The sequence below is a fragment of the Homo sapiens genome, chromosome 19 (assembly GCF_000001405.40).
Source record: "Homo sapiens chromosome 19, GRCh38.p14 Primary Assembly".
NCBI classification, from domain to species: Eukaryota; Metazoa; Chordata; class Mammalia; order Primates; family Hominidae; genus Homo; species Homo sapiens.
This window is the reverse complement of record NC_000019.10, coordinates 18,654,953-18,678,477: the sequence shown is the minus strand read 5'-3', so window position 1 is coordinate 18,678,477 and position 23,525 is coordinate 18,654,953. Positions and strand designations below refer to the sequence as shown.

General features: G+C 57.8%; 1 protein-coding gene across 6 annotated transcripts in view, besides 4 other annotated features; it reads right to left on the bottom strand.

The window, feature by feature from the left end:
* Nucleotides 5,365-6,099: an enhancer, noted in NCBI's record as "H3K27ac-H3K4me1 hESC enhancer chr19:18783189-18783923 (GRCh37/hg19 assembly coordinates)". NCBI's record gives its function as "activates a minimal SCP1, AML or CMV promoter by ChIP-STARR-seq in naive and primed H9 embryonic stem cells {active_cell/tissue: H9 hESC(naive and primed)}" and the evidence as "EXISTENCE:reporter gene assay evidence [ECO:0000049][PMID:30033119]".
* Nucleotides 6,757-23,525, bottom strand: part of KLHL26 (kelch like family member 26) — a 34,694-nt gene continuing 17,925 nt past the window's right edge. For 2 of the 6 annotated variants that reach the window (NM_018316.3, NM_001345983.2), the window contains exons 2-3: nt 14,035-14,217; nt 6,757-10,814 (exon numbers count right to left, since the gene is read on the bottom strand). In NM_018316.3, coding sequence (NP_060786.1) covers nt 9,233-10,814; nt 14,035-14,217 — 1,765 coding nt within the window. In that variant the 3' untranslated portion in view covers nt 6,757-9,232. Of the gene's footprint in view, nt 11,078-14,034; nt 14,218-18,693; nt 18,792-23,525 lie in introns of all 6 variants that reach the window. The other 4 variants (NM_001345982.2, NM_001345984.2, NM_001345981.2 and 1 more) reach the window with 4 other exon arrangements.
* Nucleotides 17,073-17,609: an enhancer, noted in NCBI's record as "H3K4me1 hESC enhancer chr19:18771679-18772215 (GRCh37/hg19 assembly coordinates)". NCBI's record gives its function as "activates a minimal SCP1, AML or CMV promoter by ChIP-STARR-seq in primed H9 embryonic stem cells {active_cell/tissue: H9 hESC(primed)}" and the evidence as "EXISTENCE:reporter gene assay evidence [ECO:0000049][PMID:30033119]".
* Nucleotides 20,116-20,646: an enhancer, noted in NCBI's record as "H3K4me1 hESC enhancer chr19:18768642-18769172 (GRCh37/hg19 assembly coordinates)". NCBI's record gives its function as "activates a minimal SCP1, AML or CMV promoter by ChIP-STARR-seq in naive H9 embryonic stem cells {active_cell/tissue: H9 hESC(naive)}" and the evidence as "EXISTENCE:reporter gene assay evidence [ECO:0000049][PMID:30033119]".
* Nucleotides 20,647-21,178: an enhancer, noted in NCBI's record as "H3K4me1 hESC enhancer chr19:18768110-18768641 (GRCh37/hg19 assembly coordinates)". NCBI's record gives its function as "activates a minimal SCP1, AML or CMV promoter by ChIP-STARR-seq in naive H9 embryonic stem cells {active_cell/tissue: H9 hESC(naive)}" and the evidence as "EXISTENCE:reporter gene assay evidence [ECO:0000049][PMID:30033119]".

Genomic DNA, 23,525 nt, shown 5'->3' with positions numbered 1-23,525 from the left:
ACGTTAATATGTTAGTATGTTAACATATGTTAATATGTGTCTCACTAAGAGGTGCTCCATAAATGCCACTTACCCTGATCACTTACATATATCTGCACTAAGCCAGTTTCCAGACACAGGAAGATGGAAGAGAAAAGATTTTGGGGACTAGCAGGGGTTACAGCAAGGAGCCATCCTGGGCATGTGCAGAAGTAAGTCTGCTGCTCTTCCTACTCACCCCCATTCACCCCGCGGCCCGCCTGGCATGAAACTTGATCCATCCTAAACCCTGGTGATGAGTCAGAGGAAGCAGCCAGCCCGCTCATTGTGCAATGGCCAGACAGCAGCCCAAGCCCCGCTTCTTGCTCCACTGACCCCCAGCCCTGAGAAGGGCGAGGCTTCAGTGTCCAGTGACCCGGGCAGAAACCAACCCTGAGGTTTTCACTTTCTTCCTTCATCAAAGGAACTTGCTGTCACCCAGTGTGGTCCAACACTGCTCCTCACAGCAGCCCTGCGGGCTTTGCAAAGCAGGGCAGATCCCACACTCCCATCGCACTTAAAAAAAAAAAAAATCTAAAGGCTTGGCGCAGTGGCTCATGCCTGTAATCCCAGCACTTTGGGAGGCAGAGGCAGGTGGGTCACCTGAGGTCAGGAGTTCAAGACCAGCCTGGCCAACATGGTGAAACCCCGTCTCTTAAAAAAAAAAAAAAATGAAAATTAGCTAGGCATGATGGTGGGTGCCTGTAATCCCAGCTACTCGGGAGGCTGAGGCAGGAGAATCGCTTGAACCCGGGAGGTGGAGGTTGCAGTGAGCCGAGATCGCACCATTGCACTCCAGCCTGGGAGACAGAGTGAGACTCCATCTCAAATAAAAAAAAAATACCCTCCTCCTGGCGGCTCCACATGCTTATGCTCGGCTCGGCTCTCGCTCCAGCCACACGGGCCTCTTCGCTGTTCCCTCTGCCTGGATTGCGCTCCTCCAAGATGCTTTCGTGGCTGGCTCCTTCTCGACTTGCAGGCCTCTGCTCTGAGAGACCCTCCTGAAGGGTCTAGCTGAAGTGGACCTCCAGCGTCTCTTCCCATGACCCAGAAACATCCCATTCTCTGAAGGCAGCTGTTTGTGCGGTCTCATCTGATCCCTTGTAGATTGAGCTGAGATTATGTTCGCCTTTCCCAAAGAGGCCAGGGCCAGGCCAGAGTTCCCTGTGTGCCTGTGGAATGTGGAAAGGGCACAGACACACGTGATTTCTTATGTGTTTTTGTTCATTCGTTTGTGCGTTTTTAAGACAGAGTCTTGCTCTGTCACCCAGGCTGGAGTGCAGTGGCGCGAACTCGGCTCACTGCAACCTCCACCTCCACACCTGTAATGTCAGCACTTTGGGGGACTGAGGTGGGCGGATCACCTGAGGTCAGGAGTTTGAGACCAGCCTGGCCAACATGGTGAAACACCGTCTCTACTAAAAATGCAAAAAAAACATTAACTAGGCGTGGTGGTGCACGCCTGTAAACCCAGCTACCTGGGAGGCTGAGGAAGGAGAATTGCTTGACCCGGGAGATCAAGAAACTCTTGAGCATTTCTGTGTGGTCCAACACTTATCAGTTGTCAAGCTGTGTGACAATGGAAAACTGTCTTCACCTCTCTGAGCCGCACTGCCCTCCTCTGCTAAATGTGGACAGTGGTGCTCCTCATAGCAGGCTCTTGGAAAGATGAAACAGATAACACATGGAAAGCACTTAGCTCAGTGCCTGCTTCATCCAAGCACTCAGCAACTGTTAGGAAAGCAAAACGCTACTTCGCCATGTTAGTTTTCATGCTTTGCTTCTCAGCTCTTCCTTATATGGGATCTTAGTCGATTTGGGGTACCCACGTCGTGTGGAGGTGAATTAGGGCCATTGGAGCTGAGAGGCAAAGAGGAAAACAATCCCTGGTCTGTCTTTGACTTCCAAAAGAGGCTCTCATCGTACAGAGTTTTTAAAGGGCAAAGCAAAAGCTGGGTCTGATCATGAAGAGAGAGGGAAAGGACCCAAGAGAAGCCAGCGATGCCCCTCCTTACGATAAGGTTACAGGAGGACCCAGGCCCCTCGTCCTCCCACCCAGGCTTTAGTGGTGGATGGAGGGTGGGACGGGGTGGGCCGCCAAGGAGGGTAGTGAGAGGCTGGAACTGGGCAGGCGGGGGACCCATGGTTCAAGTCTAGGGACCCAGCCACTTGTGCTGAGGGATAGATAGCTGAAGTGCGTGTTGGAAAACTGGTTGGTTGGCTGGATGCATTGGCTTGTGCCTATATTCTCAGCACTTTGGGAGGCAGAGGCAGGAGGACTGCTTGAGCTCAGGAGTTTGAAACCAGCCTGGGCAACATAGAGAGACTTGGGCATGCTCCCAGGGACACCTACAGTGTCCATGCCCTGAAACTTGGCCAAGGCCCCATTGACCTCCCTACATCCAGACCCCCATCCTGCTTTCCAAGATCCTGGGGCACTCACAGCCCCCACTCACCTGAAACAAACAAACAAAAAAGAGGGATATCTCGACCTCCAGGGGGCAGTGGCTGCTAAGGAGATGCAGAACGGGCCTTTCTTTTTGGTTGCCAGCATCAGGGTCCCCATCCAAGTTTGGGGAGTCCCCCCACAGAGGGAAGTTGGTCACCCTGCTAACAAGAGAGGCCCCCAAGCCAAGGGTGACCCATCGAACTATTGGCCGCGGTTCCCACCTATTCCTGCATCCCTGCCCTCTACAGTTCTTCCTTCCAGGTGGAAGACACTTCCCCATTCCAGATGTGGGGCTCAGCCATGTCATTTGCTTGGCCAAAGACTTATGGGCAGGTCAGGCATAGTGGCTCATGCCTGTAATCCCAGCACTTTGGGAGGCCAGGGCAGGTGGTTGACTTGAGGCCAGGAGTTCGAGACCAGCCTGGCCAACAAAGCGAAACCCCGTCTCTATTAAAAATACAAAACTTAGCCAGGTGTGGTGGCACATACCTGTAATCCCAGCTACTCGAGAGGCTGAGGCAAGAGAATCGCTTGATCTTGGGAGGTGGAGGTTGCTGTGAGCCGAGATTGCACCACTGCACTCCAGCCTGGGTGACAGAGCGAGATTCAGTCTCAAATAAATAAATAAATGAATAAGCTGCTCTTGGTGGCATGAGCGTATAGTTCTAGCTAGTCAGGAGGCTAAGGTGGGAGTATCACTTGAGCCCAGGAGGTCGAGGCTGCAGTGAACCATGATTGTGCCACTGCACTCCAGCCTGGGCAACAGAGCAAGACTCCATCTCAAAATAAAAAAAAAAAAGACTTACGGGCAGATGTGATAGTGTTTGAGTCCCGAACTGAGACCCTACGAGGCCTCACGTGATTCCACTTGTCCTCAGACACTTGCAGGAGGAAAATGTGCCCTGGCTAGCTGCTGTTCCAGCAGGAGGCAAGAACCCGTGGAGCAGGGACTCTGGGCTACTCTGCATCCTTGCACCTGTAAGCAGAGCTGCCCAGCCGAGGCCCGCCTAGAGCAGACACCACCTCTGCTGACTCACAGACATGTGAAAAACAAACGCTTATTGTTGCATGCCATTGAGACTTGGGGGTGTTTGTTGCACAGCAGTGGCTGACTAATACACACGAATGTACTCACTTTCACCACTCCTGGGACAGCTGGGGAATGGCGTGGGATACTGGTTGGGCCTCCGGGATGTTTCCATGCAGGCACAAGTGCTACAGAGAAACAGCATCGGGGCAGGGCCATCTGTTTTCTAGGGGCAGCTGTGGCTGAGTGCCCAGGGCAGATGGCAGTGCCAACGGAGGCGTCTGGATTCTGCAGTGGTGGCAGGATCGTCCTCTGGCATAATTTCAGCTGAAGGCCTAGTTGCCTCACGCCTTTGATTCCCTTGTTTACTTTTTTCTTTTTTCTTTTTTTTTTTTTTTTGGAGACAGGGTCTCACTGTGTTACCCAGGCTGGAGTGCAGTGGCACAATCACAGCTCACTGCAGCCTTGATCTTCAGGGCTCAACCTATCCTCACCTCACCCTCCTGTGTAGCTGGGACTACAGGTGCATGCCACTATGCCAGGCTAATTCTTCTATTTTTTGTAGAGACAGGGTTTTGCTGTGTTGCTGGTCTCCAACTCCTGAGCTCAAGAGATCTGCCTGCCTCAGCCTCCCAAAGTGCTGGGAATACAGTCTCTAAACCAAAAAAAAATAAAGAAAGAAAGAAAGAGAGAGGCATAGTCATGCCCCCTCCCAGAAATCATGGGCCACCAGTCATAACATCCTGGCACCTCTGACCTCCAGTCTCCTTGTTATGAGAAATAATGTCTGCACTGCAGAAAACACTAATGGCCAGATATGCTTGTCACCAAGCAGTTCCAAAATTATAATGTAAATGTGACAGATGCTGGAGTATTCCCATCTCATGTCAGGGTTTTTACTTGTAAGCAACAGAAACTGACTCTAGACAATTTATTTACTTAAATTTTTTTTGAGATGGAGTCTTGCTATGTTGCCCGGGCTAGAGTGCAGTGGTGCAATTTTGGCTCACTGCAGCCTCCACCTCCCAGGTTCAAGCAATTCTCCTGCCTCAGCCTCCCGAGTAGCTGGGATTACAGGCATTAATCACCACACCTGGCTAATTTTTCTATTTTTAGTAGAGGCAGGGTTTCACCATGTTGGCCAGGCTGGTCTTGAACTCCTGACCTCAAGTGATCTGCCTGCCTCAGCCTCCCAAAGTGCTGGGATTACAGGCGTGAGCCGCTGCATCCAGCCTGGACAATTTAAATAGCCAATGTGTGTATTGCAAAACTGGTTGGTTGGCTAGGTATGGTGGCTCATGCCTCTAATCCCGGCACTTTGGGAGGCCAAGGCAGGAGTGTTGCTTGAGCCCAGGAGTTCAAAACCCGCCTGGACAACATAGTGAGACTCTGTCTCTATTTAAAAAAAAAAAAAAAAAAAAAAGCCCAGGCGTGGTGGCTCACGCCTGTAATCCCAGCACTTTGAGAGACCAAGGTGGGCAGATCACTTGAGGTCAGGAGTTCAAGACCGCCTGGCCAACATGGCGAAACCTCGTCTGTACCAAAAATACAAAAATTAGCCAGGAGTAGTGGCATGCACCTGTAATCCCAGCTACTCAGGAGGCTGAAGCAGGAGAATCGCTTGAACCCAGGAGGCAGAGGTTGCAGTGAATTGAGATGGTGCCATTGCACTCCAGCCTGGGCAACAGAGTAGACTCCGTCTCAAAAAAAAAAAAAAAATTGTTTGGTAGCTCACAGAAGTGATGAGAAGGCTGGAAAACCAGGCTCAGAAAAACAGGCTGGAGTGCAGTGGTACAATCACAGCTCCTTGCAGCCTAGAACTCCTGGGCTCAGGTGATCCTCCCACTTCAGCCTCCCTGAGTGGCTGGGACTACAGGCGTGTGTCACCCTGACGAGCTTTTTTTTTTTTGTAGAGATAAGTTCTCACTATGTCACTCAGGGCTGGTCTTGAACTCTTGGACTCAAGCAACCCTCCTGCCTCGGCCTCCTAAAGCTCTGGGATTACAGGTGTGAGCCACTGCGCCCAGCCTGAGTGTGCTCTCTTAACTTGCTCCTCCTGGCCACAAGATGGCTGCAGAAGCCCCTGGCATTGTGTCCTCATAAGAAGCAGTAAGGAAGGGAAGGGGGCAACAAGGCCTCTCTCTCCCTTGTCCAGAAACACCCGACCCCTTCAAGCTTGCTGGCCAGAGCTGGGAAACACGCCCAGATTACAAACAACCCCGGCAAAAGGCATTGCCAAGAACGGCTCAGCTGAATCTTAACCCCAGAGGCTGGGCACGTTGCTGCTGGCACCAAATCAGGGATCTGATGGTGAGGAGGGAGGAATGGCTGCCCGGCTGGCCACCAGAATGAGAGCGACAGGAAGACGAGAACAAAGCAGGGGCCTTGCTGGGGGTGGAGCACGGCTTGGTGCCCTCCTTTCCCCGGGGTTTGCACACAGAAGGTGCCCACGGCCACTAGTGTGAAGAAGGCTGCCCTCACCTTCCCGCCCCAGCACCTCTCCTTTGTGCAGCAAACATTCGAGCTATGCTCCGTCGGTGCCAGGCTCTGTGTTAGGCGCCAGGCCGCTGAGATCCACGGTCAGGCGCCCCGAGGAAGAGCAGGGTCCGAGGCTGCACCGTGCAAAGTGAATCTCCAGGGCCCGTGAGAACGGACGAGCTGGAGCTGCTTCCTCGGAGACAGAGCCAGGGGCAGGTTTCCAAGCTGGCCAGGTCCGGGGCGGATTCCCACCTCACACGGCTCCCCAGAGGCCCCCTTGGCCCTCACTTGCTGAGAGGCCCCAGAAGTCGCACTTGGCCTCCCTCTTGCGGGCCTGCATCTGACCGTCCCGAGAGACAGCGTTTTCCCACAGCCTGAGCCCAGGTGCAAGGGAGGCTCCTGCAGCCGGCGTCCAGGCCTCAGCGAGTAGGCAGGGCATCTGGAAGTAGACAGGCTTCCCCCAGGCTCGGGGCGGTGCCGGGCTCCAGACCCCTTTGGGCCGCCAGGCAGATTGGGCTACGCTGGTCCAGGGGTGCATGCACAGATATGTGTGTGTGTGCATATGTGTGAGCTTGTGTTTCACTGTGTGCGGGTGAGCGTGTGAACGCGCTGCAATGCGTGGGTATGGGCAAGCATGCGTGTGCAGGCGTGCACGAGCACGGCCATGTGAATGTGCGTGTTGCGGCATGCGTGTGCAGGTGTGTGCATGAGCATGTGCGAGTGTGCGCAGGCATATTCTGCCTCTGAAGGACACAAACGTTCACAAAGTGAAGATTCAAGCCAGTTTCTGCTAAATTAAAAACAGCTTTTTCATGTTTAAAGTTTACAATACGAAAAATAATTTTCCTTTCTTGGGGGGATGCGGGGGGAGGCTGAGGGAGGGGCAGGGGGCCCCACGAACATTCCACGAACCGGCCTAGACGGTTATGCACAATCGATCCGGTTAGATACAGCAGCGCCCCCCGCCCTGGGCCGGCGCCCCTGCCAGCTCACTGGGGACAAGATGTTCTGAGGTGTGAGCTGATCCAGGGGACTTGCAGCTGGCAAAGCTTCTCACTGCTCCCCTGAAGGGGCCATGCCTCCAGTGGGGAAGGGTTCTCTTTGGGGGAGCTCAGGTCGGGGGTGGGGCTGGAATGTTCTGGTAAGTCCCCAGGGAACTCGGCTTTTGTCTCGATGCCCCTGACAGTGTGGGCTTCTTTTAGGTTCCCAACCATGTTCCTATTTTAGCACTGCCCACCCCCTCAGCCTCTAGTGTTACCCCAGCCCCGATGGCTGCCACACAGGAGCGCCAGGCATGCAGGCACAGCAACTTATGGAGATCCATGTGTGTGTGATATCCCAGGGCCTCCCTTCTGGGAAGGCCGTCCGGGAACATCAGGCTTTCTCTGCTAACCTGCAACTGATAAGTGGCCTGCTCTGGGCAGCCCAGTTCATAGTTTGGCCGGCCATGATGAGAATAGGGGGCTGAAGGCTCTTCCAAAGTGCCAAGGTTGGTCCGGGCATGGTGGCTCACACCTGTAATCCCAGCACTTTGGGAGGCAGAGGCAGGTGGATCACCTGAGGTCAAGAGTTCAAGGCCAGCCTGGCCAACATGGTGAAACCCCGTCTGTACTAAAAATACAAAAATTAGCCGGGTGTGGTGGTGTGTGTCTGCGTCTGTAATCCTGGCTACTTGGGAGGCTGAGGCAGGTGAATTGCTTGAACCCAGGAGGCAGAGGTTGCAGTGAGCCGAGATCACGCCACTGCACTCCAGCCTGGGTGACAGAGCGAGGCTCCGTCTCAAAAAAACAAAAAAACCAACAACAAAAAACGCCAGGGTGAAAGTCCTGGCCACGCTTCCTGCTGCCTCTGCGCCCCTGAGCCAAAGCCCAGCCCACTGCCGACTCCTCTGAAAGGCTGGAAAAGGTTGAGGCGGGGGAGAGGAGCCCCCAGACACGCGGAGGACACACGAGGAATCTGTGACCAATCAGACCCAAGCCGCACAAGCTCAGTGCTGGGCCGGCTCCATCTCTTCACCATAACATTTTTATTAAATAAAGGGAAATATTAGGAGACGATGTCTGCTAAGATAGGAGGTTAATTCTTTACATGGTGAGTGGGTCACAGAGACAAGACATCAATCGTCTGTTAGCAGCGAGAGAGACACTTTAAGTTGCCCCAAGAGTACAAATCCCATCTATGAGACAGCAGTGCTGGCTTCTTAAAAACAGTAAAACCAATCAAAAAGAAAAGATTTAGAGGTTCAGACATTAGAACAAATGTGGCCAGAGATACCACAGAGCCCTTGAAGGGAAAGGCCTCACTGCTGGCTCCGTAGCAATGTTGACCCAAAAACAGGGCAGGCCAGGGAGTGGCAGGGCGCGGAGGGGTGGAAAGGAGGGAGGAGAAAAAAGACACCCCACCAGACCTGCGGCAAGCGCCACTATGGGATTCTGAAGTTAGCGTCGCCCTCCAATTGCGGGAAGGGGACTGCCTGGCCAACAGGGCAAATGTAGAGGGCCGGGATGTCTCAGCCAGTTAAGGCCCCACAAGATGCTCAGTGCCAAATGGAAGGTCCCAAGCCCCTAAGGAGCGTTTCTAGGAGTTGATATGGTTTTTCCTCCGGAAAGCAGATGAAGGCAGGAACTGAGGCATGACCAGGGCCTCCCCTCAGCAGCTTGGGATGGGGGAAGGAGGGCACCCCAGGGGAGGCAGACACGTGCCCTCCTCCTCCACCCACCCCAAACCAGGGGCTTCTAAGCCACCTCTCACTGCTCCTGGAGGTCCGTGTGTTACGGACGTTTCGGGTGAGTTTATTTTAAAAACACGCGCGCAGGAGACTTGGAAGGAGGGTGAGTCATATACCACCGACTTTGGGTTCAATGTTGATGAGCTCACATCTGAATGCCTGAAACCGTGGGGCTGGGAGGCAGTAGAGAAGTGAGATGGAGCTGCACAGGGACCCCCTGGAGACCTGGGATTCCACCCGCCAGCCCGTGGGGACTCGGGGGCCAGGCGAGGAAACCACCCCGGGGACGAATTTGCTGCCACCACATGTCAGACGCTTTGCCGGCAGGCTCCCTCGGATGGACTCGCAGCCAGGATCTGCTTTGGGAAGGAGGGAGGGAGGGACCCCTGGGAGGGGGGCTTATCAACGCAGCAGGCCCCTCAAGGGCAGCCCGGGCGAAGGGGGGCACTGGGGTTCTCAGGCAGACGTGCATTCGCCAAGCCCCACTTGGAGACAACATGCGGTCAGGCCAGGGTCCCGGGGGTCTTGGGGGCTACCTCCTGGTCCCGGCCCGGGGCAGCAGGACGGGGGCGCAGGCTATGCCTGCGAAGGACTCCGGGAAGTGCAGGTCCCGCTCCCACTCGTCGGTGTCCGTGTTGTACACCTGTACGATGCCCGTGACGTTGTTGAGACGCCAGTTGTAGCCCCCGACGATGTAGATCTTCCTCTCCAGCAGGCAGCAGCCGGCCTCTGACTGGCCGGCCCGCATGGGGCTCACGCTGGTCCACTGGTCCGTCTCCGGCACATAGTACTCCACAGCCAGCACGTCGAAGCAGCGGTCCACGTGGTCCATGCGGCCCCCGAGGGCATAGATGCGGCCGCCGGCACCCACCATGGCGTGTAGCACGCGGGGTTCGCTCATGGGCGCCTTGAACTCCCACTGGTCGGCCACGGGGTCGTAGCAGTGCAGGGCCTTCTTGTCCTCCACTGAGATCCCGTAGCCACCCGAGATGTAGAGGCGGCCCCCTGAGGCGGCCCCAGCATGGCCCCAGGTACGGCGCTTCAGCGAGCAGGCGTAGCCCCACTCATTGCGCCGGGGGCAGTACCGCTCCACGGAGGCCAGGCTGCCGGCTCGGTTGCGGCCGCCCGTGGCGTACACCATGCCGCACAGCACGTTCAGCTGGAACTGGATGCGGCTTTCCTGCATGGCCTGCAGGCGCAGCCAGCGATTCAGGTGGGGGTCGTAGCGGTAGCAGGCGTCCACTGCGCCCTCGCCGCTGCGGTACTGCAGGTGCTGCCCCCCGGCCACGTACACAAAATTGTCCAGCACGGCCACGCACGTGTGGCTGCAGCCTACCTCCATCTCCGTGAGCTCGCGGAAGTGGCGGGCTCCCGGCTCAGGCAGCTGGTAGACCTTGCTGCTGACCGAGCGGTCGCTGTCGGTGTAGGGCGTGCCGCCGAAGGTGACGAGCGAGGGCACATCCGAGCGCACGGCGGTGCGCGGAGACTGCATCTCGTGCTGCCGGAAGGGCAGCACCTGGTAGTTGAAGGCCTCCAGCAGATACTGGCGGCACAGCACGTCCTCCACCATGATGTCCAGCGTCTGCACGCTGTCCACCAGCTCGGACGACTGCATGAGCGGGAAGCGAATGTGGCAGAGCACGTGGCTGGCGCGCGGCCGCCGGGCCGGGTCATGCTGCAGCCAGCGGACGGCCGCGCGGAACAGGTCGATCTCGGCACAGCTCTGCAGCCGGTTGCTCTGCAGGAAGAAGACCAGGCGCTCCAGTGGCAGGCGCAGGAAATCCTCCTCCTCGGCGATCTGCAGGAAGTGCCGGAAGGTGAAGGCATCCACCGACTCTCGCAGCGAGGCCAGGCTGAAGGTGGTGGCCATCTGGCCGATGTTGAGGCAGGTCTCCACGCTCATGGCCGCCTTCAGGAACTCCTCGCACAGCTCCACCACGGGCAGCATCTGCAAGAACACGGCCGCGCCCAGCACGTCCTGCACGCAGTCCAGGTCCAGTGTCACCTCGGCGCTGTAGGCGAAGTCGATGATGTGCCGCAGGCCACGGGCCGACACGCCCTTCAGCTCGATGACGTCCTGGCTTGCCTCCCGCATGCCGCCGGTGAACATGGCCCTGAAGGGCAGAAACACAACGTGTGGCTGGCAGTGGCTGAGGGGTGTTTTGGCCAGCCAGGAATGATCTGGCCTGGGGAACAGTAGCCTGGGGACACAGAACACAGGGCACAGCCAGCAAGAGGAAAGTAGGCGGAATGCTCATTAAAAACATGCAAAGGGGCCGGGCGCGGTGGCTCATGCCTGTAATCCCAGCACTTTGGGAAGCCCAGGCGGGTGGATCATGAGATCAGGAGATCGAGACCACTGGCACTGCACTCCAGCCTGGGTGACAGAGTGAGACTCAGTCACAAAAACAAACAAACAAACAAACAAACAAAAACATGCAAAGGCCAGGCACAGTGGCTCACGCCTGTAATCCTAGCACTTTGGGAGGCCGAGGTGGGTGGATCACCTGATGTCAGGAGTTCAAGACCAACCTGGAGGTTGCAGTGAGCCGAGATCATGCTGCACTGCAGCCTGGACAATAAGAGTGAGACTCTGTCTCAAACAAACAAAAAAAACATGCAAAAAAAAAAAAAGATTTTGAATCCACCCAAGCCATGCATCTTCCTATAAATAGCAACTCCCTGCTTGGCCCCTCTGCAGAGGACCCTGCCCCTGCCCCTTCATGACTAGATCGTGTTGGAGCTGCAGGAGCGGTGGCCCGGGTCAGCCTCACCCACAATGTGCCTGTCGGGGGTGCGGTTAGAGGGGCCAGGTATGGCAGTGCAGGATGAGAACACACCCTGTGGCTCTGGGGACAGATCTGCAGCCCCACTTGACACCTGAGCTCAGGAACTGCAAGGCCAGTGCTCTGGAGGTGCCATGCACCACAGTTCAACCCTCACCTTGTTCACTGACCTAAGCAGGCAGCTCTGATATGCCCAGCCTGAGTCTCAACAACCATCATGTGAAGAGGGGAAGGTAATGAGGGTCCCCAGGAATGGAGCCCCCACCAGGAGGCTGTGCTGGGGTGACTGCTGTCTCCAGAGACAGGCTCAGGTGGTCGGGGAAGCACCTCCCACCCAACAGCTACGTCCCCAGCCTCCATTGAGACCCCAGCTCCGCCCTTGTACTGCTGTGCTCTGCGAGGCAGAACATGAGAGTGGGAGGGGACACAGGCCCCCGTGAGGGAGGGCAGCGGGGAGGCACACGGTTCTAGGTCACAGTTCCCCTACAGCGTTTAGGGTGTTCCCCAGCAGAAGAGGGGAGAGCACCCCAGCTCCAGGGGAATGGGCGGTTCCTTCCAGGAGGCGCAATGGCATGGCATAGTAACTCTCACTCCTGCCAGTGCACCTCCCCTGATGGCCGTCCGAGGAGGAGGGAACATCCCTTGTGCATTTGACCCACAGAGGCCTGTCCCCTAGTCTTGCACCTCCTGTGAGCCAGGCTCAGGGCTACAGGGGCAAGGACAGCTGCCAGGGCACTATCTCGGGGCCGCCCACTGACATCTGCCCAACAAGCAGCTCTTCAGCATCTCTGAGCGGTCCAGGAGCAGTAAGTACGCTGCCAGCTCCCCAGACCCTGCCCCGCTTGTCCCCACGGGTCCACGCTGGCCCTCGGGCATGATGCGATGAAGGCAGAGGCGGTCGCAGGCGACAGGAGGGAGCTTTGCCTTTTAAGGTCTCGCTGGCTGCAGTGCCAGCACAGGGGAGCCTTTAAAGGGCATTGCTGGCTGGGCTGGCCCACCCGTCCCCAAATCCAGAATAAAAATAGAAGCGGCGCCCCAGTTGGCTCGGCTGCTGCGGCCCCCACAACAGCCTCATTGAGCCCATGGGGCAGGCGGCCCGGGCCTCGGGGAATGTGTGGCTGAGCGGCACACCTGGGCTGGGGCCTGGGAGCCTCCCCAGGGCGGCCCAGCTCTCTCTGGCGGGGTCACCACCTGGCAGGAAGGAGGCTCACCTGCTGGTCACCCAGGGAGGGAGACCACTCAGCCCTGCAACAGCCCCCAGCTGGCGAGGAGAAAGCACCCCCCACCCCACAGCCCTGCTCTGTGGTGCTCTCACTTCCGGCCCGGCCACGGCACAGGGACAGACAGACAGTGCCCGCCATGGCCTCTTCTGTCACGTTGGGGAAGTGCCCACAGCTCAGGGAGACAGGGAGGAGAACTCATCTGGGCCTCAGACAGAGCCCAGGACATGGTGTTGGCAGACACAGGGTCTCTGCGGCCCTCGATGCCCCTCCAGTCCCCCAGCTGTCCTGCTCCAGGTGTCCTGAGGGGATGCCCTGAGGGCAGGGGCTTGTGCCCATTTCACTGTCATCCCTGCTGCATCCCAAGGACTAGAATAGTGCCTGGCATACAGCAGGCGTCAAGTAAAGACAGATTGGGCTGGGCGCAGTGGCTCACGCCTGTAATCCCAGCACTTTGGGAGGCTGAGGCAGGTGGCTCATGAGGTCAGGAAATCAAGACCATCCTGGCTAACATGGTGAAACCCCGTCTCTACTAAAAATACAAAAAATTAGCCAGGTGTGGTGGCATGCGCCTGTAGTCCCAGCTACTCGGGAGGCTGAGGCAGGAGAATCGCTTGAACCCGGGAGGCGGAGGTTGCAATGAGCCAAGATTGTGCTACTGCACTCCAGCCTGGGCGACACAGCGAGACTTTGTCTCAAAAAAAAAAAAAACAAAACAGATCAAAAACCTGGCCAAGCCCTGCCACCCTGCATGCAGGGTAGAAGTGAGTGGGTGCCCACAGGCCATCTCTGTCCCTCCAGGCATGTTCTGCCCAAAGAGAGTAAGATGCAAACTCCGGGAAACCTGCAGGTTTACTGGACATTAAACCTCTCTCTAAAATCAGAAGGGGCCCGGAGCGGTGGCTCACGCCTATAATCTCAGCACTTTGGGAGGCCAAGGCAGGCAGATCACGAAGTCAGGAGTTCAATACCAGCCTGGCCAACATGGTGAAACCCCGTCTCTACTAAAAAATACAAAAAAAATTAGCTGGGCATGGTGGCGGGTGCCTGTACTCCCAGCTACTCGGGAGGCTGAGGCAGGAGAACTGCTTGAACCCAGGAGGCGGAGGTTGCAGTGAGCCGAGATTGTGCCACTGCACTCCAGCCTGGGCAACAGCGCGAGACTCCATCTCAAAAAAAAAAAAAGAGCAGCCGGTACCAGCCGTTCTCCCTCGAAGCTGTCCCTGGGTAGCGCTGAGACAGGCCCCCTTTAGAAAGTGGGTGCCATCTGCCCTGTCCCTGTCCCAACAGGCAGCCGCCCCTTCCAGCTGCCTGGGGCCAGCACTTACCTGAAGTAGTCGCTGCAGGCAGCCAGGACGACCTTGTGTGCAGGAAAGGCCTCTCTGTTAATAGTCAGCACAACATCGAGGAGCTGGCCCTGAGCGCGGAGGGTGGCCAGGCCCTGCAGGAGGCTGGTGCTGTGGCTGGGTGCCGAGAAGGTGCACTTGAGGGCCCCGTTCTTGTCGGCCGTGCTGCGGGGAAAGCAGAGGTGGGGACATGGCCCAGAGGTTCACACACACACTATTACCTTGAACACAACACTCAGTGCAAGAAGCCAGACACAAAAGGCCGCACTGTGTATGACTCCACTGACGTGAAATGCCCAGAACAGGCAAATCCGCAGAGACAGGAAGCAGATGGGTGCCACCAAGGGCTGGGGGAGGGGAGGGGGGAGTGACTGCTGATGGGGTGGGGTCTCCTTTTGGAGGGATGAGAATGTTCTGGAACTAGACAGAGGTGGTGTTTGCATACCACTGTGAATCTACTAAATGCCACTGAATTGTCCACTTTCAGACAGTTTTATGTCACGTGAATTTCACTTCAATAAAAAAACCAAAGGACACACGGGAGCCTTCTCAAGTCCCCTGCAAGCCCCGCCACAGCCCCCTGCACCCCAGAGTATACGAGCCCTCTGTGGTCCAGCCCCCACTGCCCCTACTGCCCCCTCATCCCCTCTTCTCCAGCCCCACCACCCCTTTGCTATTTCATTTGGGGAAACTGTTGAACGGATCAATGAATTAATAGCTTAGGAGCCGTTAACACACCACTTCTTCCTCAGAACACAACAGGGGGTGGACCCTGGTGCCACCTCCAGGATCAGTCCCCTCTAAGACCCCCACCCCCACCGGGCTGAGGCACCCTGCTCTGTCCTGGTGGCCTCTGCCCTCTGGAATTTGCTCTCCCATTCCTGGGACCCACGCCTGCCTGTAAGCAAAGGCCAGGAATGCGGGCACTGATCTTTCCAAGAAAGCGGGAGGAGACGGAAGGCTCCTTGGCCCCACTGCCAGCCAGCCCCAAAACCACAGTGGGCATTAAAGAGCCAACGTCAAACACAGGGCACACAGTGGGCACTCAGTCAACATAGCAGCTGCCACCGGAGGTCCCTGACCTCCCCTTCAGACCACCCTTCCAGAGACCCTTGGGAAAGGGTGAGTGATCAAGACAAACTGCCGGGGAGAGGGGCTTCAGGGCCAGGCGCTGACCACAGCCCTGCAAGGCACCACAGGCAGAGAAGTTGCCCAAGCCCCAGCCCTGCCTGCGAGGCACTGCATGTCCTAGAGGGTGGGGACATAGCACGAAGGACCCAGTGTGGGGCCTGTGCTCAGTGGAAAGCCTTTGAGTCCCTGGGGAAGCAGGACATATGCTACTCAGAGCCCAATGCCACGGTCATCTGGGCTGGCCAGCAATGCTGCGGTGCTGGGGGTGCTGGAGCCCAGACCTGGTGTTTGCCTGGGAGGGTGGGGGTGCAGCCTTTTGAAAGCTGAGGAGGGCAGGGAAGGAAAGGGGTCCAGGTGCACCCTGAGACTCTGGCTTGTCCCCGTGGCCTTTCCCCTGCCAAGTGGAAGGGACGCTTACCTCCCCTCCTCCCTTCCTCCCCTCCCCACACATCGGCCCCGATCCCACTTGACCAGGCTGCTGCCCTGAGCCAAGCCTTGGCTCTTTTTTCCCTAGACCCATGACAGATCCAGATCCGAGGCTTGTGAGGAGCATGTCGCAGGCTCATGGGCCGCTCTCCCCTATCCAGCCCCCCACAGGGGTCCAGCACCTGCCTGGACATCTCCAGGGCAGGGTCTCATTGCTTCCCACGAATGGCATGCCCTCTCACCGACACCCTGCGACGGGTGTCCAGGCTGCCTGGGGCCAAAGCCGCATCCTGCATGTGCCTCTGAGGACCCTCAAGGTCTCTCCTTGTCCCCAGTTTGCCTCACTGGCTTTGCAAACTCCTCTTCCCTGCCCGTGCATGCAGGGATGCTGCGTAAATGAGACGAAGTAGGCCCCGTCCTCATGGGCACGCGGTCCAGGCAATGGGGACCAAAAGGGGTCAGATCACCCAGAATCAGCTTTGTGTTGCAGCTGTGGCAAGGGTTGTGCATTCGGGCTCTGGGTGACCCCTGCCGGCCTTTCTGTGGACACTTTGTCTCCCAGAAGTATGCATGGGCCTTGCCAGCCTTTGCCATTTTGATTTTGGTCTGGTTTTTCCTTAGAAGTTCAAGGAGATTTGCGGGGAGGGATGGGAGGACTTCTCGTGCCTCCTGTAAAGCCCTTGGAGGCAGGTGTGCATGTGTACATTTTCATCAGAAGAAACACGTTGCACTGGGACAAGTTCACCACGGGGCCACTCAGTCCTTAGGAGCATATTTACCATGCTCTTCCATATATAAAGAGCATCAAGAAATCAATACAAATTAGCCAGGCATGCTGGCATGAGCCTGTGTTCCCAGCTACTTGGGAGGCTGAGGTGAGAGGATCACTTGAGTTCGGGAGGTGGAGGCTGCAGTGAGCCATATTTGTGCCACTGCACTCCAGCCTGGGTGACAGAGTGAGATCGAAAGATGCACAAAGAATGTGGGCTAATGGTTCCCAGGAAAGCAAGCAGAGCTGGCTAGAAGGACGTAAGAGTCAGCCTCGCTTGCAGTCAGGGAAGCACACTCTCGGGGGGCTTATGAAGCAAGGTGACCCCCAGGAAGGCAGCTGCGTAGACTCAGCAACACTCTAAAGGCTCATGTCCTTTACCCAAGAACTCTATTTCTGAAACTTACCCAAATACAATCTCTAGGGGCCACAGACGAGAAATAAGCTAACCACCCTTAAAGGAGATTCGTGGAATCACAGCACCTTCTGAGTGAGGGCTGCCCTATAGATGGGTGAGGAGGCTGACGCATCCTGGGGAAGATGTTGCATGCAGGGGATGACGTCAAGGCTGCAGGAGGAAGGAAGAGGCAGAGTGCACACAGTGGGATGCTATTTGGGCTCAAAGTGCCACACATATGCATCTGCCCATGAGTGCACAGAACATATCTGGAGAACTGAGAAGTTGGACAGAGAGGACCTCCCTCTGGGGAGGAGAGGAGCTACTGCCCTGCACCCTGCTACTCTGATGACTGAGGAACAGGAAACCAGGGAGGTGGGCCAGTGTTCCAAACATGGGATCTGTGGGTTCCCCAGCAAGCAGAGAGGGTGCCCGGAACCCAGAAGGCAGGATCAGTTCAGCTGACTGGCAGGGCATCTCAGAGGAGACATCAGGGGCCAGCAGCCTGGGCCAAGCCAGCTCTGGTTAGCTGGGAACTCAGCAGTCACTCAACCACCCAGGCCTCAGCTACAAAGCAGGGGCAAATGACCATCCAGCTCCCCAGCCCCAGGGCCGCTGGAGGATGAGATGAGCAAACGCAGAGCCCTGGGACCCAGGCTGCCACTAGCACGTGACGACTACACACTCGGAGAATCTGGATGCTCCCATCTGGAATTTAGGACACCCCAGGCCCAGAAAGCAGGGTGAGGCCCATCCACTGCTGGTTACAGGGCACAGGGCCCACGCTGGACCAAAGAGGGGAGGAAGCAGCTTGTCCTCCCCAGGCCTCCTCCTCATGCCCTGGTGATGCCTGACGCGTTCCACATGGCTGTTTCCTTCCTCTCATCTTAGGGATGGGACAACTGTCCCTGAGGCCCCTGACGTCACCCTCACTGCCGCCCCTGTGAAGCCAAACCCACCCCACTGCAGCCCCTCCTGGGGAACTCAAGGAGGGAGGAGGCCAGGAGGGGCAGGAGTCCCCCAGCCTGGACGGAGAAGCGAGACGCAGCCTGGGCGGAGGTGGGCAGGCGGAGGAGGGAGGGCCGGGGCCAGGGCTGATGACTAAGGTCCTCTCCAGCCGGCCACTGGGAGGAGGGGAAGGACCCATTACTCAGGCTGGTCCAGACAGGGGGCGGCCGGCACGGCGGGGCCACAGGCCCCCAGGAAGGCGGTGGCCCTGAGCCGGTCCGAGTCTCCAGACGGCCACTCGAGTGACGGTCACCCGCACGTGAGTCATCGGAGCCAATGCGTCAGCAGCCCCGGCCAGGGCCGTCTCAAGAGGCCATTGCTGCCCGCCCTGGCTGCACCCTCTGCCCGAATCTGGCCTCTGAGTGGCCACACGCCCCCGCTACAGGCCTGGCCCGGGCTAGGGGCCATTCTGACACCCGCTTGCCGCTGTATCCCCCCAGCAATGTCATCGGGCACCCTAGCCAGGCCCAGGCCTGTGCTGGACCCAAGGACACGCCCAGGTCTGCCCTGGCAACACCACCCCTGCTCCTCTCAGATGTCCCAGTGCAGGGATGTGCTAGGGCTAACATCCAGGGAGCCTGGGTGGGGTAAACTCCCCCAGGTGGACCACCTGTTATGGGATTCCCGAGATCTCCAAGGGTTGCCCTGGGACCACCTGCTCACTACTGACACACCCTGTGGAGGCTCCTTCCCTCCCCACGCTGTTCTTTCGTGGGGCCCTCGAACCCCCGCCTGAGAGTCTGCTCTGGGGGAACCCAGCCCAAGGCACGATGGCCTCGTGGGGGAGGTCACAAGAAGCTCAGAGTTGCAGAGGTTGCGGCCAGGCACCCTAGGGATGAAGCCTCGTGGGAGGATCAGGAGCAGAGGGAGGTGGGGGCTGCCTAGGGGGACAAGAGTGAGGGGCACGCACCTGTCAGGGCAGGCGCCCCTCCTCCGGCCCCGGGCTGGCCTCATCTCCATGGTCGGCTTCCCAACCCATGAGAAGCGATCCAAAGCCCCAGAACGGTTCTTTTCATTGGAATGTCCAAAAAAGAAAAAAAAAAGGCAAGAACAAGAAAGAATTTCATGGAAACATTTCTTTGGGGTTTTGTAAAATCCTTTCCCACCCCCACGCGGAGCCCAGCGCTCGGGCCAGAACGGAGCCTGCCGGCATTGCCCCTCATAGGCGGTTCTGACGCGCGCAGTCCCTCACTTCCCCTCAAAGAGGAGAGCACTTCCACTTTCAAAGCCAATTTTGGTTTTATTGTCCATGTGGCTCGAAGGAGCACAGCAGCACAGCACAGCTGGTTGGCTCCCACCCCGGCTGATGCGATGCCGCCCCAGGGTCTCAGTGCATGGGTGGGGAAGAGGCTGTACTTCAGGGGACAGCAGGGGATGTCAGGGCCGGCTGAGAAGCCACTGCCCAATCCCTAGCCTCTCTCCCAGCCAGTCCCAGGCTGGCAACTGGACCAAGACCATCCTGAGAGCCTTGTCTGAGATCCAGCAAGAGAGGGAAACAGAGACTCGGAGAGGGAGTGACAGAGACTTGGAGGGGACAGAGACCCAGAGAAGAACCGGGACCCACAGAAAGAAAAACAGGACCCAGAGAGAAGTGGACAGATACCCAGAGAGAGAAAAACAGATTCAGAGATAAAGGGACAGAGACTTAGAGGGTACAGAGACCCAGAGGGGAACAGGGACGCAGAGAAAGGTAGACAGAGACCCAGAGAGAAGGAGACAGAGACCCAGAGAGAAGGAGACAGGCACCCAGAGAGAGGGGGACAGGGGGACAGACAGAGACCCAGAGAGAGGGGACAGAGACCCAGAGAGAGGGAGACAGAGACCCAGGGAGAGAGGGAGACAGAGACCCAGAGAAAGGGAGAGGGAGAGACGGAGGCCCAGCAAGAGGAGAAAAAAACCCAGAGAGAGAGGAAGACAGATACCTAGAGACAGGGAGACAGGGAGACAGAGACCCAGAGAGAGGGAGATGGAGAGAAAGATCCAGAGGGAGAGGGAAAGAGAGACCCAGCAAGAGGGAGAGAAAGAGACACCCAGGGAGAGAGGAAGACAGAGACCTAGAGACAGGGAGACGGAGACCCAGGGAGAGAGGGAGACAGAGACCTAGAGAGACGGAGAGGGAGACAGAGACCCAGGGAGAGAGGGAGACAGAGACCCAGGGAGAGAGGGAGAGGGAGAGACAGAGACCCAGAGACAGGGAGACAGAGACCCAGAGAGACAAGGAGAGAAATACAGGGAGAGAGGAACAGAGAGCCAGTGAAAGGAAGGGAAGCAGAAATGGTGGCAGGGGTGGGGGTGACAGCGACCAGGCAGTGTGGGAGGTGGTGTGGGGCTCGAGTGCCAGAGCTGTGGGGGGCCTGGAATCCCACCACCAACCTCTCAGCCTCACAGCCACCACCCTACTCTCCAACCACACTGACACCTTCTCTCATGACCCTTCCCACCCACTCTGACCTTGCCAAGCAGGCACAGGTCTTCACATGCAGCCTCACAAATCCCCAGCAGCCGGGGAGATCACAGGCTCAGTATCCCTCTCCAAGATGGGAACACCGCGGCCCAGCGTGCCCCTGCTCCCCCGCCACCCCCACCCCTGGCCACCAGCAGCTGCAGTCCTCACTGGCTCTTGGGCACGTGCCTCGAGGGTAAAAGGTGCAAAGAGGCAGGGTCCCACCCATTCCACAAAGGCAGCTCCCCCAGTACTGTTGCCATGGTGACCACAATGTTTCACAGCACTGGGAACTGCTCCCAGCCCACAGGATGGAGTTGCTGGGTTCCGGCACCTCATGCTGGCCCTCAAACGCTCCGGCCCCCACGCTCACGTCAGCAAGCTTTCCCGTGGGACAGCTCAGAGGCCCCTGAGGCCCGGCCGCCCTGCTTCTCCCCCAGACTGCCCAAGGCTACTTCCTGGGGTTATCCCTCCTGATAAGGGGCCGCCCCTTCCAAGGCACCTGCTGTTCTCTGCCTCCCTTGGCTCCCGTGGGAGTGGAGGAAAGATAATGGCTTCTGGATGGACAAGTGGGAGAGCCAGGAGCGGGTGCAGGGCCCCACCGCAGTGTCCCAGCAGGCCAGGACACTCAGCCACTGACAGACCCAGAGACTGGGACAGAGGGACAGAGATGGGGAGACAGAGACCCAGAAACAGAGGGACAGAGACACAGAGATGGCAACAGAGACAAAGAGACAGAGACCCAGAGACAGAGACACAGAGACAGGGAGACAGAGACCCAGATATGGAGGCACAGAGACTCAGAGACCCAGAGACTCAGAGACAGGGAGACACAGACCCAGGGAGAGGGAGACAGAGACCCAGAGACGGAGACAGAGACCCAGAGATGAAGACACAGAGACTCAGAGATAGGGAGACACAGACCCAGAGACAGGGAGACAGAGACTCCAACCACACTGATACCTTCTCTCATGACCCTGTCTCATGACAGAGACAGGGAGACACAGACCCAGAGACAGGGAGACAGAGACCCAGGGACAGGGAGACAGAGATCCAGGGACAGGGAGACAGAGATCCAGAGACAGAGGGACAGAGACCCAGAGACAAGGAGACAGAGACCCAGAGACAAAGGGACAGAGACTCAGAGATAGGGAGACAGAGATCCAGAGACAGAGGGACAGAGACCCAGAGACAGAGGGACAGAGATGCAGAAACAGAGGGACAGAGACTCAGAGACAGAGATGCAAAGACAGAAGGACAGAGACCCAGAGACAGGGAGACAGAGACCCAGGGAGAGAGGGACAGAGACTCAGAGACAGGGAGACAGAGACTGCAGCTCAGGGGCCGCCAGGGTGCAGCTGTCTGTGTCTCCCTCCTGCTTGACATGCTGATTTTCTCCAACATCTTCACGAATCATTTCAAACAGGAACCCGCCACTCCCGCCCTGTGCTGGGAGGGCAGGCGTGCTGGGCAGGCCAGGCAGGGTCAGAGCCACCCTAACCTCGCGGCCTCCCCACCCACCCACCCTCAAGCCTCCTCCAAGAGCCCCGCGCTACTGAGGCAGACAGGGCTCGCCGTGAGTTGCGCCTGTTGGCCCAACTCACACAGCGTCCTGCATGGATGCCCTCTGACCCCTGCGAAGGAGGCCCTGGCCTTCCCCTTCCTCCCAGCCTCCTGATCTGGAGCCATTCCCTGCCTGTCTGTCCTTGGCTTCAGCCTGTCTGTGCCTGCTGGGTGGGGACAGAATGACAGGAGACAGAGCATCTGGGAGTGCCTAGCAGGAGGCCACTGTACCCAGGGCTGGCACCCCCAGACAGCCAAGTGACGGCCAGGGACGCCAAGGCTCAGAGAGGGTGGCGGGCTGCCCAAGTCACACCGGGAGTTCAGGGAGGGCAGGCAGGCAGGTTTCGGAATCGAGGATCAATTGGAAAGGACCACGACCAATGACCCCAAGGACCCAGTGAGGTGGCAGGAGACACTCCCTGCTCTCAGGCTCAGCAGGTTGAGAGGTGAAGCCCACAGAGCTGGGAGCAGAAAGCTGAGGCCCGTCCACCCCCATCCTGCAGGTCCCCCACCAACCCCACCATGAAGCCAGGGCAAGCTGCGTGGCCTCCCCTTTCCTGAGCCTTGCTCAAACCTTCCAGAAAACAGGGGGTTAGAGGTGCAGTGGTTTGCAAGCTGTCATCTCAGGAGCATGGGGGTGTTCTAGATGAGGAAGGAGGCTGGAGGCATGGGTGGGTGGATGATGGATACGTGTGGCCACCCCTCACCTGCTCCTCAGGGGTCACCATAAGCCCAGTGCCCTCAAGGCCGGGCTGTGATGTCCTGCCCTAATCCCAGCCTCTGACCAATGCCACCAGGAGTCCAGGATGTGTGGGGCTCTGACTGCGGCCAATGGACAGGAAGACATTATGCACAGCGCCCCCATCCCGGACTTGCCAAACTCCAGCCACTTCTCAAGGCCAACAAGAGGAAGCCCCACCATCCAAACAAAGGCCCAGAAGACAAGGGGGTGTTCAGACCCCACCTCCCTGACCAGCAGCAAGCTCTCTGCCTCCACAGCACCCCTCCCATCCTGGCTCTCCATGTCCAGATGACAATGCTGGGGCGTCTCCATCAGAACAGTCTTCACGGACCGAGGGAGCACCCAGTCTGTGCAGTCTTGGCTCCTGGCCCACCTTGTGGCAGGCAGTCTCTGATGGGGCACTGCTACCATCCCATCTTACAGATGGGGAAATGAAGGCACAGAGAAGTTCGGCCACTGGCCCAAAGTTATACAGTAAACAGAGGCAGGGGGACACCAGGCTTGGCCAAAGGAGGCCTTCCTCAGCCAACACACGGGTGCTGGTCGACCTCTCCCCGGTCCCAGGTGGGTGGGCCTCTGATCGTGACCATCACACAGATGGGGAGACTGAGGCTCAGAGGGCTGAGACAGCTCGCCAAGGCTCTGCCTGAGCTGGGAGGATGGACATGGAGCTGAACAGCAGGAAGAGCAAGACAGGGGCTTTTCAAGGCCGGCCCCAGGCAAGAATGTGGATTTACCCCACTAGTCCTCCAGCCGCCCTGCAAGAGAGGGAACCCCACTCTACAGATGAAGGGGCGGTGCCTGCCAGGTCCCGCTGGGAGAGCCTCGGTCTACGGCTCATCAGCCACCCCACCTCCCTGATCCCCACCTGGGCCATTTTTGTCTTCCCTGCTCCTCACTCCATCTGCCACATCATCTGTTTCCAGCCTGTCTCCCCATGGCTGAAAGGGGAACCCCATGGAAGCCGAGCAGGCAAGGTTCTGTCTCCTGTAAT